This window comes from Homo sapiens, chromosome 12 (assembly GCF_000001405.40).
Source record: "Homo sapiens chromosome 12, GRCh38.p14 Primary Assembly".
NCBI classification, from domain to species: Eukaryota; Metazoa; Chordata; class Mammalia; order Primates; family Hominidae; genus Homo; species Homo sapiens.
In genome coordinates, this window is record NC_000012.12 from 39,444,156 (window position 1) to 39,465,681 (window position 21,526).

The window sequence follows — 21,526 nt, forward strand, 5'->3', positions numbered from 1 at the left end:
CAGCCTTTATTAGCTTTGCCACAGAGTATCTTTTGTGGACTGCTCCATACATCTCTATAAACAAACATGTGGCTTCATACGAAATAGTATCACAAATTAAATGGCACTATCCAAATAAAGGCACTACCTCAAATGCCTGCAATCTACAATCACATACCTAATCATCTTGTTCAGCAGTGATACAGCAGTGTGGCTCAGAGAAGGCTGCAACACTATGGGAAAAACAAGAAGTGTTTGATGATTTAAACCCATGGGAAGGCCGATGGGGTATATAATTATAGATAGTTTTAAATTTATTCTGTCCCTTAATCTCACTACCCCTAAATCTTAACAGACATGTAACTGGGAGGTAAAGAGGGCAGAGATGCTGAGTATCCTTCTATAGATCAAATTGGTGGGAAAGCTCTCCTCTGGCTACTCTTTGGAGGGCCTTTCCTAGCCTCAAAATTTATCCATCAACAAATCAGAGCTGCATTTCACCCTGCCCTGGCAAGCCCATATCTGGGTGGATCTGGGCTGGCCACCTTGCTTCTTTTGTTGATGAAAGCTGCAAGGAAAGCAAGAATGGCCCAGCACATTTAACAAGAAAACTAAAGAGAAATTTGTATAATTAAGACCCTCTTTTTAAAAAAAGTTCTTTTTTATTTTATTTTATTTTGAGACAAAGTCTTGCTCTGTCACCAGGCTGGAGTGCAGTGGCGTGATCTCGGCTCACTGTAACCTCTGCCTCCCGGGTTCAAGCGATTCTTCTGCCTCAGCCTCCTGAGTAGCTGGGACTACAGGCGTGTGCCACCATGCCCAGCTAATTTTTGTATTTTTAGTAGAGACAGAGTTTCACCGTATTGGCCAGGCTGGTCTTGAACTCCTGACCTTGTGATCCACCCGCCTCGGCCTCCCAAAGTGCTGGGATTACAGGCATGAGCCACCACACCCAGCCTATTTTATTTTTTGAGACAGTGTCTCGCTCTGTCATCCAGGCTGGAATGCAATGGTGTGATCTCAGCTCACTGCGACATCGACATCCTCCTCCGGGGTTCAAGGGATTCTCGTGCCTCAGCCTCCGGAGTAGCTGGGATTTCAGGCATGTGCCAACACATCCAGGTAATTTTTGTATTTTTAGTAGAGATGGGATTTCACCATGTTTACCAGGCTGGTCTCAAACTCCTGACCTCAAGTGATCCGCCCACCTCAGCCTCCCAAAGTGCTGGGATTACAGGCATGAGCTACCTCACCTGGCCAAAAAAAGTTCTCATTTTAAATAACAATAGTATACATATATGTCTCAGTAAGGGGAGTCACAAACACAAATGCCTACAGGAGCCAGGCAGGTAGCTCAAAAGAGCAGAGCAAGATGAATACTATGATAAAGGTGAGGACTATCATAAAATAGAGACACAGGCCCCTTCCAAAGGTGGTGGCCATCCTCAGCTCTGGCTGAATATTGCCTTGATGAAATGCAAATCCAATGCTGCCAAGATTTTTATTTCTTGTATGTATGTTGCTTCTCAAGAAAAAGAGAAAAACAGATCTTTATGAAAAAACTCCTTAGTTTTAAACACCAACGACTAATTCAGCACAATATTTACATATGCTGCAAACCAGACAAAATATGTCTCAGGCCAACTTTAGTCCCAAGACACCAGGCTGGAACTTCTGGACAAAATATTAGCACCAATAACAGCTGTGGCTTTGGGTTCATATTGCACATGGTTTCAGGAAGAGGCAGTGTAGAAATTCAAATTCTCATTAATGACCTAGTCAGTAATTTTTCCCCAAATTTCTAAAGTTGTAAAATTAACATACTATTTTGTATTTAGTTCCAATTCATTTACAGCTGCTATAACACCTTTCCTTATGACTCCTCTTTTTTTTTTTTTTTTCTGAGATGGAGTCTCGCTCTGGAGTCTCGCTCTGGAGTCTCACTCTTTCGCCCAGGCTGGAGTGCAGTGGCACCAACTCGGCTCACTGAAAGCTCTGCCTCCTGGGTTCACGCCATTCTCCTGCCTCAGCCTCCCGAGTAGCTGGGACTACAGGCACCTGCTACCACGCCTGGCTTAACTTTTTGTATTTTTAGTAGAGACGGGGTTTCACCATGTTGGCCAGGATGGTCTCGATCTCTTGACCTCGTGATCCACCCGCCTCGGCCTCCCAAAGTGCTGGGATTACAGGCGTGAGTGACCGCGCCTGGCCATGACTCCTCTAAATAATCTTAATTTCTTAATTTCAAGAAAGTTCCAAGGGAAGAGCTTTTACTGCAAGAGTGGTTTAAGTCTTATTCCAATCATTGACTCAATAAATATTTTAAGTGATTATATGCAAACAAAGTGAGGGACAACAGTGATTTAGAGAAGAATAAGACAATGTCAGTGCTTACAAGGAGTTTACTGTCTAGCACAGGAAGATATGTTTGAAAATACTAAATGGAATAACAGAAATTACGAGAGAAATACGATGAATTTTACCTGGACGGGTAAGGAATTCTTCAGATATAAACTGCACAGGATGGTCTCCCTGAGTCCACTCTTGCCTTCATATTGCAGGAATAATGTTTTTGTTGGTTTTTTTTTTTTTCTTGAGACAGAGTCTCACTGTTGCCCAGGCTGAAATACAGTGGGGCAATCTTGGCTCACTGCAACCTCTGCCTCCTGGGTTCAAATGATTCTCCTGCGTCCAAATGATTCTCCTGCGTCAGCCTCCTGAGTAGCTGAGATTACAGGCACCCACCACCATGCCTGGCTAATTTTTGTATTTTTAGTAGAGACGAGGTTTCGCCATGTTGGTCAGGCTGGTCTCGAACTCCTGACCTCAGGTGATCCGCCTGCCTTGGCCTCTCAAAGTGCTGTGATTACAGGTGTGAGACACTGTGCCTGGCCAGAATAATGTCCTTTTAAACATAAGTCATTTATGTCATTTCTCTGCCTGAAACCTTCCAATGGCTACTAACACAAATAGAATAAATTATTCTACACTTTAAGACCTTCACACACTGTCCCTGCCCCAACTCTGACCTCACCTTTTGCCACTCTATACCTTAACAACTACTTTTTGGTGAGACTGGTTTTCTTTCTATTTCTGGAACTCATAAAGTTCTTTCCTGCCTGAGGGTCTTTGCACTAGCTATACCCTCTCCCTGGAATGTTCTTTCCCCAGACCTTCCCATCGTTGGCTTTTTTTTTTTTAATTTCTAGGTTATCAGTTTAAATGCTGTCTTCTCAAAGAGGCCTCTCTTGATCACCCAGTCTAAAATAGCACCCCCACAAAGACCAGCTACCTGATTTGCACAACCCGGTACAAAATGAAGATGTGAGGGATCTTGTAAGAAAAGGAAGATAAAAATGATATGAAAGGTACGAAAATAGAAAGTTTTTCCCCTTCCTTTAAGCTCTCTTGTGTCACGGTGTTTTTTATTTGCTATTTAATGTCATTCTCCAGAAAGAAAAGTTAAAGTTTTAGATATTTCCATGACTTTCTCCATTCATCTTTATAGTGTACAATGCTGGTTTTAAGTATCAACAGAAGAGCATTTAACTCTTACATGGGATTATAAAAATTATACAACTTATTTCATAATTCATACATGCATTTTATTCTTAACAGTAGAAACACTGCACAAAACTAACTCAACTGTTTTTATTTCATACACACATATGCTAATAACATTTCCTACCTTTGACTTACAGATTAATAAGGAAGAACTGAAAAGAAAGGAAACTACTCTGTCCCGTCTTTACCTTTCCTTTTACTGACATGGTTTGGCTCTGTGTGCCCACCCAAATCTCACCTTGTTTGTGATAATCCCCATGCATCAAAGGACAGGACCAGGTGGAGATAGTTGAATTGCAGGGGCAGTTTCCACCATGCTGTTCTGATAGTGAGTGAGTTCTCATGAGATCTGATGGTTCTGTAAGGGGCTTATCCCTTCACTTGGCACTCATTCTCTCTCTTGCTACCCTGTGATGAGGTGCCTTCCACCATGATTTTAAGTTTCCTGAGGCCTCACCAACCATGCAAACCTGTGAGTCAAACCTCTTTCCTTTGTAAACTACCCAGTCTTTGGTATTTCTTGATAGCAGCATAATAAGGGACTAATACATTACATCATCACTTTTGGAGTTAATGGCTGGCTGCTACAAGAATTAATGAAAGAAGAAAAGAATAAGACTGGGTTCTTTGGTCATCTTTCAGAATGTCATTGCCTTCTTTTTGCATTGGAAGTGTTAAAGTAAACTATGGCCTGAGAAGGACTCTGTACTTCTATATTTGAGTCCTTGTGGATGAACTGTAACCTAGCTTAATAGACAAAATTGAAAACCTAACTTGGTAGCATGTACCTGTAATAATAGCTGAGTGTTGGCCAATCCCAGCAGCCATACTTCAACCACTCATAGACTGCAGAATGTGCAAACTGCATTCAAATAAGGCAAACACCGAGTAGTAACCCATTTCACTGTTTCTGTACCTCACTTCCGATCCCTGTACATCACTTTACCTTTTTTGTCTATAAATTTGTTCTGAACACGAGGCACCCCTGGAGTCTCTATTAATCTGCTGTGATTCTGGGGGCTGCTCGATTCGCAAATTGTTCAATGCCCAATTAAACTCCTTTAAATTTAATTCGGCTGAAGTTTTTCTTTCATCAGAAGCAAGTTCTGGTTTGAGAGAAGCATGGCTTCTAAACATATCAGCATTCCTGCTTCCTCCGTGGAAGACATAGAACATTTATCTCACACTGGCTTTGAATCTCACTGAATTCTCCAGGGTGGTGATTCAACTGGAATTCCATGCTCATGAGAGATCACAAATGCTACATAAGAATGGCATGGCAAGGAACAGAGGACATACATGTTCTACATATGTCTTCTGCTTATTCATATGTCACAGTGCCTTATCAAACCACACTTATAAAACACAAGTCAGAAGATAAAATTAAGAATTTCAAGACAATGACAGCAGAATATTATTAAACCAAGAGTGTGGCCCTTCTGAACAGAAGGCTCTGTGTAACTGTACTGATCTCTGACCCTGTACACTCAGTTATGAACTATCATATCAGTATTTTATTTCTTCGTAGCCCTTATCACTAGCTGATATTGTCTTATTTTTTGTTTATTGTCTGCCTCCCTGAATTTGAATATGAGATCCAAGATAGCAGAGAACATTTCTGCTTTATTCACAGATATTTCTGTAGTTCCCTCAACAGTCTGACATGTAATTTAATGTCTGACACATATTAGGGGTTATTAAATATTAGCTGAATGACTATATGTCTTTGGACAAATATGAGCCCTTTCTAGTCTCAGTTTTTTATAAGTAAGTAATGTACTTCCAAGCTTATTGAGTTGTTTAGGGGTTTAAAGAGCTTTGCTTATCATATGTAAATCACAGCACCAGCTCCCAGTAAGTGCACATCAAAACTAATTTTATAATAATTATTTTTGCCCAGTGCGGTGGCTCATGCCTATAATCCCTGCAGTTTGGGAGGCCAAGGCAGGTGGATCACTTGAGGTCGGGAGTTTGAGACCAGCCTGACCAACATGGAGAAACCCCATCTCTACTAAAAATACAAAAAATAGCCGGGCATGGAGGCGCATGCCTATAATCCCAGCTACTTGGGAGGCTGAGGCAGGAGGACTGCTTGAACCTGGGAGGCAGGGGTTGCAGTGAGCTGAGATCACGCCATTGCACTCCTGCCTGGGCAACAAGAGCAAAATTCCATCTTAAAATAAATAAATAAATAAATAAATAAATATTTTTATAAATACATTGTTTTTAAAGCAGGTACTGATGCTGCAGCTGCACCTGTCTAAGGTACATTTGGAAGAAAGATTCATTACAGCACCTACTGTAAGGCAGCCAAAAAGAGGCAGCCAAAAAGAAGTTACAGCATGCATTAGTGTAACTATCTCACTGGTTTTCTCCCTCTAGGCCATCTACCCTGTGTTTTCTAGTTTCCACATTCTAATCAGTCATTAAACGTTATTTGACTCTTCCTTTTGGCTGCTAGAAAAAAGATGAAAAGAAAAAGATCTGATTATAATTTTGTATGCAAACAGCTGGCTTTGGAAAAGCATGCCTAGACAACCATCCCTTCAGAAATATTTTTGGAAAAATCTTTAGAAAGCTAACCCTTAATGCCACCATCAGAAATATCAGTTTTCCTTCAGTGATTATTTATGAGTGGGTGTGTGTGTGTGTGTGTGTGTGTGTACATTTTCCCCACTAATAATGAAAAGTATTTACACGCATAGGGCTCTTTCATCATGCCAGTGCATGGAGTTAAGTCCAGCAAGTGTTATTTCACTTAATTCTCTCAACAGCCTAGAAGGTGGGTACATTTATTTATTTATTTATTTATTTATTTATTTATTTATTTATGACAGGTTCTGGCTTTATCGCCCAGACTAGAGTCCAGTGGCACGATCACAGCTCACTGCAGCCTCAACATCCCAGATTCGGAGAGCCTCCCACCTCAGCCTCCTAGTAGCTGGGATCACAGGTGTGCACCACCATGCCCAGCTAATTTTTTAAGGTTTTTTAGAGCCGGGTCTTGCCATGTTGCCCAGGCTGGTCTCAAACTCCTGGGCTCAAACATTCTGCCTGCCTTCACCTCCCGAAGTGCTAGGATTACAGATGGGAGCCTCTGCACCCAGCATTGGTAGGATTTTTATTTCCATTTTACGTAAGAGGAACTAGAAGCCTTCCCAATAATCTCTGATAAAATGTTATCTACATTTCAAGCCCAATTCAAAACCACCTCTTTCTTCAGCCTTTTCCTGAGTTTACTCCTCTCCTGGACCAAATGTATCTTTTCCTTCTGCCAAATCTCCATTGCATCTTGCTTATGTTTTAGTTGTGGTAATGATCACTTTCTGACTCAACTAGACTGCAAATTCCTAAAAGGCAGTATTTGTGGAAAACCCAGAAGGGCAGCCAATACTTACTTGTTGAATAAATAAATTGGTGATTACCAGCAGAAGGGCATGCTATGCTTTGGTTTCCACATAAAGCAAGTTTTCAGTGTAGATAATCTGCTGCCTACTGGTTATAGTTCTCAGATAGACTATTTCCAGACCATAATGTCTGATAAAGGTGGCTTTCAAACACTCAGGAAGAAAAGTAGAGCACCACTTGAGTTTCTGTAAACCAGCAAATGTAAGCAATGCTGCTGTAATTTTGGAGATAAAAGATATTTTACAATTCTACTCCATCCTACTAATTTTGCAGGTTAGGAAGTTTATTAATTTTGTGAAGAGGAGAATTCACCATCACACCAGTTCCACCTACTTCCCAACACACACACCACCACCACCACCACCACTGTAAGTTAATGGTAGAGATAAATTAAAATTCAGGTATCTTGACTCCCTTTTCTGAGCTCTTTGTCCTTCACTGTTATTTTCACTATCATTGTAGTTTTGGGACTTAGGAAAAAATCTCAGCCTGCACTACAACAAGTGTTTGCATGTGAAGAATATGTGCTGAAATAATGAGATGATCTTAAATTCTAATAGTAGTAATTTATCTTATAATAAAAGCAGTTTAACATTTTATAAACTCATTTTAATGACTCATAACATTACTGAAAAATCAAACTTTTAACTATATGCATATTTTCTCTTTTTATTTTTATTTATTTTGAATAGGGTGTGAGTTATTTCTGGGTGCGAAGTAAGGGTTTGAGGAAATTTATTTTCCTTCTTTGTATCTTTTCATACTAGTTGAAATTTTTTAAATGATATAAATCACTTCTGAAAAGCAGTGAAATTCTAAGAAAAAAAAGACAAGAAGCTCAACTTTTATTCATTAAGAATAAAGAATTAGATAAAATTTAGATTTCATCGTTCACATTTAAGATCAGAGTTTGAAATCTAACTGAATTTAAGGACCTGGACCTGAGTTCCCTGCATAAGGGAAATTCAAAGAATAAAGCCTCCCCTCCAGTGCTTTGGACATTTGTTGAGTTTGCAGCATATGCATATTGCAGACAGCTTGATTACCCTCAAAGTACTGGCCCAGTTAATTGCATTCAAATGCAAATTACAGCTATTAAGTCATGCTGGTTCTGAGCCAAAATCTCTAGCCAAATTTGTAAGAGGAGTATGTTTTTTCCTAACTGTGCAGGACCAAACTTGATAGGCAGTTTGGGATAGTCATTCATTAGAACCTCATTCTTTGTGTGTGTGTGTTTTTTTAAATTTTATTTTAGAGTATTATAGAACTCAATCACTGAAAGATAATTTTATTAGCCATTTTTAAGAGAGAACATTTCACCATTTACCACCCCCTCATCTTTTATTTATTCATCAATACCACCATTCTTTTCCTCCATCTGTTGATTGGAGTTCCAGCCTTTTTTTTTTTTTTCCTAACCATTTTCTTTTCTTGTTACCACCACATGGATACTTTTCAAATTCTCATGGTTCTGGACACCCTAAGCCAAAAGATTAATAAAGCCCTGAATTTTTCATCCATATTCTCTTTCCATAAACCTCTATCAATTAAAAATACAAAGTTGTCTTTTTAAGTTGGGGATAATATATATTTCACTAACTTCACTGAACATGTGCTTAGATTTACCTCCCCTCAAAAAAAAAATTTTTTTTTAAGCTACAGTAGAGTAACAAAGCACTAACATCTAGATACCTAAGTATTCCCTATGCAGATGCCCATTTGGTAGAATTGATGCTTTTTAAGCAAAAATATGCATGTTACCTTTCTAAGATGCTTTACCTAAATTAAAGTAAAACTCTGCTTTAATCTCCTTGATTGGTTCTGAGACCAGTTATTTCACAGTAGGCTCTACCAAGGAAGCCTTCCCAGACAAGAGAAACTGATGACATTTGTACTGATTTTATAATGCTAAGCTACTCCTCTAATTTTTGCAGTAGTGCAAAGTGAAAAACCATTTCTGATAGAAAAATTGTTGTTAAACTGCCTTTTTGGCCCAAATGACTCTTTAAAGGACTTGTTTCTAAATGTGATGTTAACAATAGGGATTAAAAAAAGATATGGACACAGTAAGATGTTGATGGACAATAAATTAACAACAAGATCATGGCAGCACCTGAACACACTTGCTTATGCACGCACCACCACCACCACCACAACAACAAAAAGGTGTTTTTTTTTATGTCAATGAGAAGTCAGGGGTGTAGGTACAGTGTTCATAGTACAGGATAGTACAGGAATTTAATAGAAAATACAGGAAATGCTTTAAACTTTGTGAGTGGAAGAGTGATAAGATAAAGGCAGGATTTTTTAAATGTGCAAAGTAAAATAAGATTTTAAAAAGGATTATGAATCTGGTCTAAGTCTATGAGATGTACTGGGGACACTCAGTCAGGTCACCAGGTCATACTGTCATACTTTTTTAGTTATGACATGGTAAGGCCTGAACTAGGCTTTTTCTTTTCTTTTCTTTTCTTTGTTTTTTGAGATGGAGTCTCACTCTGTCTCCCAGACTGAAGTGCAGTGGCACAGTCTCGGCTCACTGCAACCTTCACCTCCTGGGTTCAAGCAATTCTCCTGCCTCAGCCTCCCAAATAGCTGGGATTACAGGTGCGCTCCACCACACCCAGGTAATTTTTGTATTTTTAATAGAGATGGGGTTTCGCCACGTTGGCCAGGCTGGTCTCAAACTCCTGACCTCAAGTGATCTGCCCTCCTCCGTCTCCTAAAGTCCTGGGATTACAGAAATGAGCCACCACACTCGGCCTGAACTAGGCATCTTAATAGTGAATATGGTAAAAATGGAGAAGTAGAACTTATAAATGAAAGACATTCTAAAAGGAAAAATGAACAGGAATTAGCAACACAGGAGAAGAATAATAGGAGGTTAAGGTATTAAACTCCCTGCCATTTAAAATGTTCAGTCATAGGCTAGAAAAACACTCCCTGAAGATATCATCAAAAAGATGAAAGCATCAACTAGGAAGGATGAGGGGGAAATGTGAACTAAAGGGCCTCTTGAAGTCCTGCCAATCGGAGATTACGAATTTATGAGTGGTTTTAAAAAATATTCCTAAATCTAGGCAATTGAGAGAATAATGATATCATTAGCAGAAACAGGCAAGTTGAGCGGGAAGAAAGGAAAGCTCATCTGATAGGAAACAGAAAGTGTATGGTAGAAAGAACACTTGGGTTGGAAGTAACATGACAAAAATAAAGGCAGAACAAGAGCATCAAGGCACTAGACGAACCCAAAGGAATGAAGACAGGGAAGGAATCAACGGATCTATCACATCAGCAAAGCTAATTATAACTGTGAGAGAGTAGTTTGAATAGGACAGGGGAAAGAAAAGCCAGGTGTCTGGCCAGGTGTGGTGGCTCATGCCTGAAATCCCAACACTTTGGGAGGCCAAGGCAGGCAGATCACTAGGTCAGGAGATCGAGACCAGCCTGGCCAACATGGTGAAACCCCGTCTCTACTAAAAATGCAAAAAAATTATTAGCTGGGCATAGTGGCACGTGCCTGTAGTCCCAGCTACTCAGGAGGCTGAGGCAGGAGAATAGCTTGAACCCAGGAGGCAGAGGTTGCAGTGAGCCAAGATTGCACTACTGCACTCCAGCCTGGGTGACAGAGCGAGGCTCTTGTCTCAAAAAAAAAAAAAAAAAAAAAAAAGAAGAAGAAAAAGAAAAGCCAGGTGCCCAAGGAGCTAAGAATTGGTGGTAGGAAGGCAAGGAGACAGTTCACAATTTCAGAAAGCTCACTAATGAATGTACAAAAGGGATCAGTCTAAATTCCATTTCCATTTGTAAATTACTAAATCAATTTAAGTGTTTTAGCGCATAAACGATCCCATATTTAAAACTACTTTCATCGGCTTGTCTCCATTCTACCCCTTATTTCTTTGGGCAAATTCTACACAATCTTGAAAGTATTGTTAGACTCCTCTCTTGCACTTATGCTAGACCAAGGACACCTTTTGGATACTCACACTGTATATGGGCATAATTAAAGTATTAATTTATTTTAAATTTATTTGTTTAAACATGGCTTCTGTGCTAGATTGTAAACTTTTAAAGTAGATACCATGCCTGATACATTGTACTTACAATTCCAAATACAATGCATATCATTTGATACTCAGTATCAAATCTTTATGGATGACCTGAAAATCCCTCTTCTAGCAACATTGTCTTTGAAGTACAAATAGCTATTAGAAGTTGACTGTGGCCTGGCGCAGTGGCTCACACCTGTAATCCCAGCACTTTGGGAGGCCAAGGCGGGCAGATCACTTGAGGCCAGGAGTTCAAGACCAGCCTGGTCAACATGGTGAAACCCAATCTCTACTAAAAATACAAAAATTAGCCAGATGTGGTGGTGTGCGCCTCTAATCCCAGGTACACCCGAGGCTGAGGCAGAAGAATCACTTGAACCCGGGAGGTGAAGGTTGCAGTGAGCCAAGATTGTGCCACTGCACTCCAGCCTGTGTGACAGAGCAAGACTCTGTCTCAAAAAAACAAAAACAGAAAACTGTTGACTGTGCTTGATTTTCCCAAGAAACTCTCTAGTTTTAGACCACCAATTTAGATAACTATATCTTGGACTTCTTTGTAGGTCTTCCCTTCCCAGTTTCTAAATTTTGAAACTCCCAGGTCTTGTCCAAAGTTCTCTTTCTTTTCCTTTTTACATTTTCTCCCATAGCTCAAATTCAGTCTATATGGGGGTTACCAGCCATTCATATTTCTATTTAAACAAAAAGCTTAAAAGTAAGAAATAAATATTTAAGAATAGAAAGCTGCTCAAATAAAAACATAAAGAAAGAAAAATATTTTTGTATGGCTGTACAATGTGTTTGTGGTTTAAGCTAAATGCTATTACAAAAGAGTCAAAAAGTTCTAAAAAATTAAAACATAAGGTTAAAAGTTACAATAAGCTAACGTTAATTTACTGAAGAAAAATTTTTATTTACGGTGGCCTAAGCATACAATGTTTATAAAGTCTACAGTATTGTGCAGTAATGTCCTAGGCCTTCACATTCCCTCACCACCCACTGACTCACCCAGAGCAACTCACTTATAGTCCTGCAAGCTCCATTCATGGTAAGTGCCCTACACAAGTGTACCATTTTTTATTTTTTATACCATATTTTTTACTGTATATTTTCTATGTTTAGATGTGTTTAGATACACAAATGCTTACCATTTTGTTACAGTTGCCTACAGCATTCAGTATAGTAACATGCTATATAAGTTTGTAGCCTAGGAGCAATAAGCTACACTACACAACCTAGATGTGTAGTAGGCTGTATGGTCTAGGTTTGTGTAAGTACATGCTATAATGTTTGTACAATGACAAAGTCACCTGAAGATGCATTTTTTAGAATGTATCCCCATCATTAAGTGACACATGACTGTGTATACACACACACATACACACACAAGTGTAGGTGTGTACATTAATTTATTATTTTTTTTTGTTTTAAAGACAGGGTCTCACTCTGTCACCCAGGGTGGAATGTGGAATGCAGTGGCATAGTTACAGCTCATAGCAGCCTCAAATACTTGGGCTCAAGCAATTTTCCCTCCCCAACCTCCTATGTAGTTGGGACTACATGTGCACCCCACCATGTCCAGTTAATTTTTTGAAAATTTTTTGTATTGGCTAGGTGCAGTGGCTCATGCTTGTAGTCCCAGTACTTTGGGAGGTTAAGACAGGTGGATTGCTTAGGCTCAGGAGTTCGAGATCAGCCTGGGCAACATGGCAAAACCCTGTCTCTCCAAACAAACAAACAAAAAAATGGTTGCGTGTGGTGGTACATGCCTGTAGTCCCAGCTACTCTGCGGGCTGAGGTGAGAAGATGGCTTGATCCTGGGAGCTAAGGCTGCAATGAACAGAGATTGGGCCACTGCACTCCAGCTTGGGTGACAGAGGAAGATGAAGGAAGGGAGAAGGGAGGAAGGGAAGGAGGGAGGGAGGGACGGGGGGGATGGGGGTGCTGGGTCTCCCTATGATGCCCAGGCTGGTCTCAAACTCCGGGCCTCAAACAATCCTCCCACCTCATCCTCCCTAAGTGCTGGGATTACAGACATGAATGACTGCACCCAGTCTTAACTTATTAAAAAAAAAAAGACTTACAAAAAGTTGTGAAATAGAACACACAGTTCCCATATGCCCAGGTTCCCTTATATAACAATTTATGTAAGTATACCACAATTATCAAACCAGAATATTATCATTTGTTTACAAAATGTCCTTGTTCTGTTCCAGGGGACCCAATCTAGGATCCTCCTTTGCATTTAGCTGTCATGTCCTCTTAGTTTTTTATCTGTGGCTGTTTCTTCGTCTTTCAAGACCTTGGCACTTTTAAGAGTACCGACCATTTATTTTGTGGAAGGTCTGTTAGTTTGAGTTTTTCTGATGTTTTCTCAAGATTTGTTTGAGGTTATGCATTTTTTTGCAAGAATATCAGAGAAGTGATGTTGTACCCTTCAAAGTGCATCCTATTAAGAGGCACATGATGTTCACATGTCTTATCACATCACCAATGATATTAACTTTGATCTCATACCTGAGACGTCTGCCAGGTTTCTCCACTGGAAAATTATTTTTTTGATCTGGGCTCATTGAAACATCTCAGGGAAGATATGTTGACAGTATGATAATCTTTTTTCTTATCATACTTTCATCCACTAATTCTAATATTTGTCAATTATTTCTTGTCTATAACAATTATTACTGGGATGTTCACCTAATAGTGATTTTCTATTTCCATCATACCTTCTATATTTATTAATTGGTATACTCTTATTCAAAGAAATAGCTACCCTTTCTCCCTCATTTATTTATTTCTTCCATGATTTATTTATATTAGTATGGGCTCATGGATATTAATTTGTTTTATTGGTTATAAGGCATTAGAAAAGAATAAGAAAGCAAAGAAGGAGGGAAAAGGAGAGTGAAGAAAGACAATGCTAGTCTTTCCTCAGAATATTACCAATATGGTCATATTAGTAATATTGTAAACTTAGAAAACTATTCATGAAAAGTATTGTACTATAATAAAATAGAAGTTAGAATTTTAGAAAGAACATAAAACTATGGTAAGTTTTTAAATAATACTTACATATTTTGGTTATTCAATATTAAAATATAAAGATAGAAATTTTACTTTTGTAGGACATAAAAAGAACTATTAACTCAAACCTCAAGCTGTTGCCAAAACTAATGCATTACCTTCCCAGGAAATGCCTGACTCCAGCCTGTCCTATCCTTAATTCATCCTACACATTAGCATCTGTATACCAGAACAACTATCAAATTATCTGTGAATTCTTTTTCTATCATCAAGATTTTGGAAATATTTATCTGAGTATTTGGCTTTAAAAAAATGATTTAGTGACTGTATAAAATCGAAGTACTAGCAGTATTGTTGCACTCCAGCCTGGTGACAGAGCGAGACTCTGTCTCAAAAAAAAAAAAATACTAGTAGTGTTGTTAGTAGTGAAAAATCCACGAGTCTGCAGCGACCTCAATTCTTGTCTCCTTGGAAGAAAGAATTCAACCGAGGGGTATAAGGCAGAGTGAGAAACCAAAGCAAGTTTTAGAGCAGGAGTGAAAGTTTATTAAAAAGTTTCAGAGCAGGGCCAGGTGCGGTGGCTCACGCCTGTAATCCTAGCACTTTGGGAGGCCAGGGTGGGTGGATTGCCTGAGTTCAGGAGTTGAAGATCAGCCTGGGCAACACGGTGAAACCTTGTTTCTACTAAAATACAAAAAAAAAATAAAAGTTTCAGAGCAGGAATAAAAATAAAGTACACTTGGAAGAGGGCCAAACCAGTGACTTGAGAGATTCATGTGAATAGTTTGACCATTGACTTGGGGTTTTATACATTGGTATTCTTCTGGGGTCTTCCCTCATCTCTTCTCCCTAATTCTTTTTTTGGAGTGGCTGTCCACATGTGCAGTGGGCTGCCAACTCTTGGGAGGGGCCACGTGCGCAGTGTGCTTACTGACGTTGTGCACATGCTCATTGAGGCGTTTTTCCCTTACCAGTTGAGTGTTCCTATAAGGTCATATGCCAGTTAAACTCTGCCATTTTGCCTCTTAGTGTTTATGCATGAGGTCACTCACCCAGCTCCTGAGATCTTATCGGGAAGCTGTGGATTACCAGTTTCAGTTGTTTCTGTCTGTTGGGAGACTGCCTTTCCCTGTTGCTGGCTGCAAACAATTATTATTTTAGAGGCAGTTTAACCACCACCTGACCATCAGCTGATGGTCACCTGACATTCCTGGTGGGGCGGGTGGTGCTCTCTCCTGCCTTGCTCGTGTCTGCTTGATTACCTACTATAATGGTGTCATTGCTATATATACATGCATTTCTCTAAAACACTTCCGCAAATATCCATTCCTTACTACTCCTACTAACTTGATAAGGAATCCATAGAATAGTGTAGTTTCGAAATTGAAATGAAAGTATAGTTTGCAAGGCTGGGCGCAGTGGCTCACACCTGTAATCCCAGCACTTTGGGAGGCCGAGGTGGGTGGATCACAAGGTCAGAAGTTTGAGACCAGCCTGACTAACATGGTGAAACCCCATCTCTAAAAAAAAAAAAAGAAAAAAAAAAAGAAAGTATAGTTTGCTACCTATGCTTCTAAGACACTGTATTTGCCACCTCCATACCTGAAATTTCCATGCTATTTTCACAATTTCCCTATCCTCATAACAGTTTGAGCCTCCTGTTTAAACTTACCCCCACTTGGATCACTTTCATAATTCTTGTTCTTTATTAAATTCATGTCTCCTCAATGTATTATTTTTTTCTGTCCTACTTGGCAGTAAACTCCACTCACTTGACTATAACCTCTAGCAAAGTATGGATTCCGCATCCTGTTTTCTACTTGGTGTCCAGTGTTTACCATAAAGCAGCAGCACAAAGAGGATGCTCCATAACTGTTTACTGAACAAAAGGATGAATAAATGGCAACATCTTCAAGCCCAAACATTAACTAACATGAATATTAGTTAAGGAAACACTAGCTGCTCTTGGAATACAGTTTTATCAATTAAGTGGCAGCACGTTTTACTGCTCATCCAGGGTATGTAGATGTGCCCATAGGTTTTATTTTGTTCCTGCTTATTTTAAACCTGTGAAGCAGTTCAGAGTAACATACAAAAAAAAAAGGAAAGTTTCACCATACCAAATATCTGTCATATTCTGGAGTGAGATATTAGACTCAGAAAAAGTCTAAATATAAATAACATAATATAAATAAAATTCTAAATTTAAATATAAATAAAATTCTATGGGTTTACATAGAAGAGTATGCAAACATGTGAACCATGATGCATTATTATTTTTTATTGCTTGTCACAGCTTCTTATACCCCTCATTAATGCATATTTGATGTTTTTATTTGGCAACATCATGCATCAATAATGATATTCTCTAATTATTTTAATTTCCTAATTAATCTAAACACCAAATTATTTTGTTTTGTTTTTACTGGTGGGTGGGTGGAGTGCTTTAAAATGTCATGTCTTGACAGGCTGGGGCCTCCCACCTCCCACCTGGGACTCTAAGCCTGAGATAGAGGCCAAGGCCCGGATGGCAGTGCCCAGGCCCTGTACGTGAGGTCTCTGGTGCTATCTCCAGAATGTGGCATGCATCAGACGCTGAAGGAGATGGACTTTGAGAGGGAAATCCACTTGGTAACCATGAAGAAGAATGGTTACAATGTTCCTTACTCTCCCAGCCACAGTGGGTACTACACTATTTGCCATTCTTGCTGGAAAGTAGAGCCAAGTTACTGGTATTCCCAAATCCACAAAGTGCTACTGCCTACACCAGGTACATTATGAGAAAGCTTTTGCTTTCTCATAGGCTTAACTTCAAGGTGGCAGATGATGACAAATTCTCCAGACTGTACAATGTTGCTTTGAAGGGTCAAGAAGACCTTTGTTCTCTCCTTTGAAACTCAGACCAGTCCTAAGGCTGTCTGAGTTGGAAAGGCATGAGCAACATGTGACCTGATGCCCTGTAATAGTAACTGAGTAAATGTTTGTGTCTCCTCCACCTCCCCAATTAATACGTTGAAGTCCTAATACCCAGTGTGATAGTATGAAGGGACAGGGTCCTTGGGAGATAATTAGGGTTAGATGAGGTCATGAGGGTGAGGCCCTCATGATGGGATTAGTGCCTTTGTAAAAAGGGACACTAGAGAGCTTGCTCTCCCTCTCTCTGTCTCTGTCTCCCTACACATGCACAAAAAGGTATGTAAGGACACAGTGAGAAGGTGGCCATTTGCAAGGCAGAAAGCAAGCCCTCACCAGGAAATGAATAGGCCAGCACTTTGATCTTGCATTTTCCAGCCTCCAGAATTATGAGAAACAAATTTCCATTGTTTAAAACACCCAATCTAAGGTATTTGCTATGGCAGCCCAAGCAGACTAAAACAGATTTAGTTACCAAAAAGTAGGGTACTACTGTAACAAATATCTAAACATATTTGTGCAAGTGGCTTTGGAACTGCGTACTGGGTAGAGGCTGGAAGAGTTTTGAGGCACATATTAGAAATATGGGCATTAGTGATTCTTGTGTGGTCTCAGATGGAAGTGAATAACCTGTTATCAGAACTAGAGGAAAGGCAATCCTTGTTATAAAGTGACAAACACTTGACTAAATTGTGTACTAGTGTTTTGTGGAAGGCAGAACTTGCTTGCAATGAAACTAGGTATTTAGCTAAGGAGATATATAAGCAAAGTGTTGAACGAGTGGCTTAGTTCTTCCTGACTGCTTATAGTAAAACGTGAATAGAGAGAGAGGAATTAAAGAAGGAATTGTTACACACAAAAAAACCCAAAACTTGAAGATTTAAGAAGTTCTCAGCTGCCCATATTGCAAAAATAAGAAAGCATATTCTGAAAAGCACACCAGAGGTGTTGCTAGACTGTCACTTGTTAAAGAGTTTATGGAATTATACAAAGAGAAACATTGCAAGTTTGAGCTGAAGGGGATTGAGATGGGATGAAATAAAGGAAGGCTTTTAGACCTCTTGGATTTGATAGGATGGGATGATAGTGCCATTTGGCTGAGAACATGCACTATTCATCAAGAGGCAACAATGACCCTGAAGGTGATTAAGAGGGTGATCAAGGCCACTACCTTAGTTTTAACCAGCCAAACAGCCTCTGCCTGAAGCTGTTGGGGTGGGACCCTGACCTGGAACAAAGGAGCAATGCAGCCACCACAGTGTATCCAGAGAGCAGAACATCAAGCAAAAGAGGATTATCCTCAAGCCTTAAGATCTAATGAAATTTGCCTTACCAGGACTTGGATTTGCTTGGGACCTGTCACTCCTTTCTTTCTTCTGAAATGACCGTTTTTGAATGGAAATGTTTATCTTATGCCTGTTCTACCAGGGTATTTTGAAAGCATATAACTTTTTTGATTTTACAAGTTCACAGCTGGAGATGAATTTTGCCTCACTATATATCATAAGTCCAGTTTCACCCATATTTTATTTAGATGATATTTAGATGAGACTTTGAACTTTAGAGTAGATGCTGGAATTAGTTAAATCTTTTGAGGCTATTGGGATGGAATGAATGTATTTTGCATGGAAGAAAGACATGTATTTTGGGGGACCAAGGATGGAATTTAGGGACTGAATATTTGTGTCCCCCACCCCCAAATTCATATGTTAATGCCCTGACCCCCAATATGATAATATTTCAAGATGGGACCCTTGGGAGATAATTAGCGTTAGATGAGGTCATGAGTACGTGGCCTTCATAATGAGATTAGTGCCCTTATAAAAAAAAGGAAGGAAGACCAGCTCTCTCTCTCTCTCTCACTCCCTCTCATTCTCCCTCACTCTCCCTCTCTGATGATAGAAAATATCATCAGGATATTAAAATATCCCTATCTTTTAGAAAGAGGTCAGAGGGGAAACCAGAGAGCAGGTTTGAGGGGTGAGGACTGCAAGTGCTAAAGCTTGAACAGATTATCAAACTCCAAATTATTCATGTGATGATGCCTACTCATTTGGGAGGGAAAGAGGGAGATCCCTCCCTCCATACACAAAAATTAATTTTTAAGGTATAAAATACCCATATATAAAAACCAAAACTATGTAAGTATTAGAAGTAACTACAAAATATATGATACAAATCAAAAGTTTTATAAAAGAAAAGCTTGACAAGTTGAGTACATAAAAGTTTTAAACTGCTACAAAAAAAGACAACTTGAACAAAGTTAAAAATAAGTGACAAAGCAAAAGATTGCTATATATGTATTACAAAGGATTCATATCCAAAATATGTTTTGTTTTGTTTTGTTTTGTTTTGTTTTTGAGACAGACTCTCACTCTGTAGTCCAGTCTGGAGTGCAGTGGTGCAATCATGGCTCACTGCAGTATCCACCTCACCGGCTCAAGGGATCCTCCAACCTCAGCCTCCAGTAACTAGGACCACACATCCAGCCAATATTTAAATTTTCTGTAGAGAAGGAGTCTCCCTATATTGCTCAGGCTTGTCTTGAATTCCTGGGCTCAAGCGATGCTCTCACCTTGGCCTCCCAGAGTACTGGGATTACAGATGTGAACTACCACGCCCAGTCCCAGAATATGTTATAAATCTCCTACAAATCAAAATGAAGAGACCAAAAAATTTTACAGAATGAGCAAAAGATATGGACTGACCATTCACAGAAGAGATCATACCAAACAACAACAACACAAAATGGTGCTCACCTTAGTAGTAATTAGGAAAATGCAAAATAAGGCAAAAAGTCAATGGCATTTTTGATCCTTTAGATTGTTACTAATAATGGCTTTCTGATAGAATCACAAATGTTGGCAACGTTTGACACTTCTTAGTGTTTTCCATATATTAACTCATTTAATCCTCACAGTAACCCTATGATTAGGTGCTATATTGTCATCCATATTTTAAATATATTAACTCATTTAATCCTCACAGTAACCCTATGATTAGGTGCTATATTGTCATCCACATTTTACAGTTGAACTGAGGCACAATATGGCTTAGTAACTTATACTGAGGTCTCACAGCTAATAAGTGGCTCTAGAGTCAATGCTCTAACCATTTCATTACATTGTGTATCAACTGGTAGCAACCTTTCTGGATGATAATTTCGCTGTAATAAAAACTTTTAAATAAATACACACTCAGACACATGAACTGTCAATTCTTGAGAATTGACAGTTCTGCTCTCTGGAATCAGAGGACTTAGGTTGGAGTATGAATCCACCTAATTACTGCCAAGTGCAAACAAGTCACTTCACTTCTCTGAGTTTCAGAATTTTTATGGTATTTATTTTTATAGATTTAGTGAGTACAAGTACAGGTTTGTTACTTAGATATTTGCATAATAATTTTCATTTTAAAATGAAAATTCTATATGGTTGCATTGTGAAAATTAAAAGAGATTATATATTAGAAACACTTTGCAAATCAAAAACACTTTAAGACATTCTCTGATCTTACTGAATTTTTGTACTTTAAGAAAGCACTGGTGCTTGAGTTTTTGAATTTACTGAATAAAAATATTTCAGTGGAAAGCTAGTAGTCTTTCTGAATTTTCTTTTTTTTTTTTTTTTTGAGACAAAGTCTTGCTCTGTTATGGAGGCTGGAGTGCAGTGGTGTGATCTCGGCTCACTGCAACCTCTGCCTCCCTGGTTCAAGTGATTCTCCTGCCTTAGCCTCCAGAGTAGCTAGGATTACAGGCCTGCACTGCCATGCCCAGCTAATTTGTTTTGTTTTGTTGCATTTTTAGTAGAAATGGGATTTCACCATGTTGGCCAGGCTGCTCTTGAACTCCTGACCTCAAGTCATCTGCCCACCTCAGCCTCCCAAAGTGCTGGGATTACAGGCGTAAGCCACTGCGCCCAGCCAGTCTTTCTTAATTTGATGAGCCTGTAATTTAAAAAAATTAAAAAATCAGTTTTGGAGTTGGTCATCAGCATTTTCAGGACGAAATACTAAGCTAAGAATTCAGCAGGCACTGGGAGTGGCAGATGACAAAGAAATAGGACTCATAGTGCTTCCCCTTCCAAGTTTACCATTTCCTTGTGGTTACACAACATGCACACAGGCAAGAGCTTAACATTTACAAAATAGTAGAGATGCTGTGGGGGTTCAGTGCGAACAAAACACATACAGCAAAGTCCTTGAAAGCAGAAGGCTTTTGGTGTCCAATAAGACCTAATTCATAATCCTGGCTTCTTCAGTTTCATAAACTAGAAATCACACTACCTACCAGGAAGGATTATCCTCAAAATCAAATTAGTGTAAATAAAATGGTTAGCACATACAGTATCTGGCATGAAGTTAAGAGCTTCTGCTATTATTGGCTGCAAAGAGAAGTCAGAGAGAAGAGTGAGCACAGTTCAGAACATCAGGCAGTAATTTAGTAAAGTGTAGTGTGAGAAAACATTTTCTAAAAGAAATATGTTTCACACAGGCCTTAAAAGAGAAAAAGAAGAAATGACATTTCCAAAATACTTGCTTTTAGCATGGGAGTCTTTACATGCTGGGACACATTAATCTGAGAGTGCGGTAAC

At 39.2% G+C, this 21,526-nt stretch overlaps 1 long non-coding RNA gene across 1 annotated transcript, besides 1 other annotated feature; it reads left to right on the forward strand.

Annotated features, from left to right (window-relative positions):
* LOC124902919 (uncharacterized) lies at positions 3,001-4,614 on the forward strand. Its single transcript, XR_007063278.1, has 2 exons — positions 3,001-3,347; positions 3,681-4,614. It is a non-coding gene; the product is annotated as an uncharacterized LOC124902919 (long non-coding RNA).
* Positions 7,602-8,301: an enhancer, noted in NCBI's record as "OCT4-NANOG hESC enhancer chr12:39845559-39846258 (GRCh37/hg19 assembly coordinates)". NCBI's record gives its function as "activates a minimal SCP1, AML or CMV promoter by ChIP-STARR-seq in naive H9 embryonic stem cells {active_cell/tissue: H9 hESC(naive)}" and the evidence as "EXISTENCE:reporter gene assay evidence [ECO:0000049][PMID:30033119]".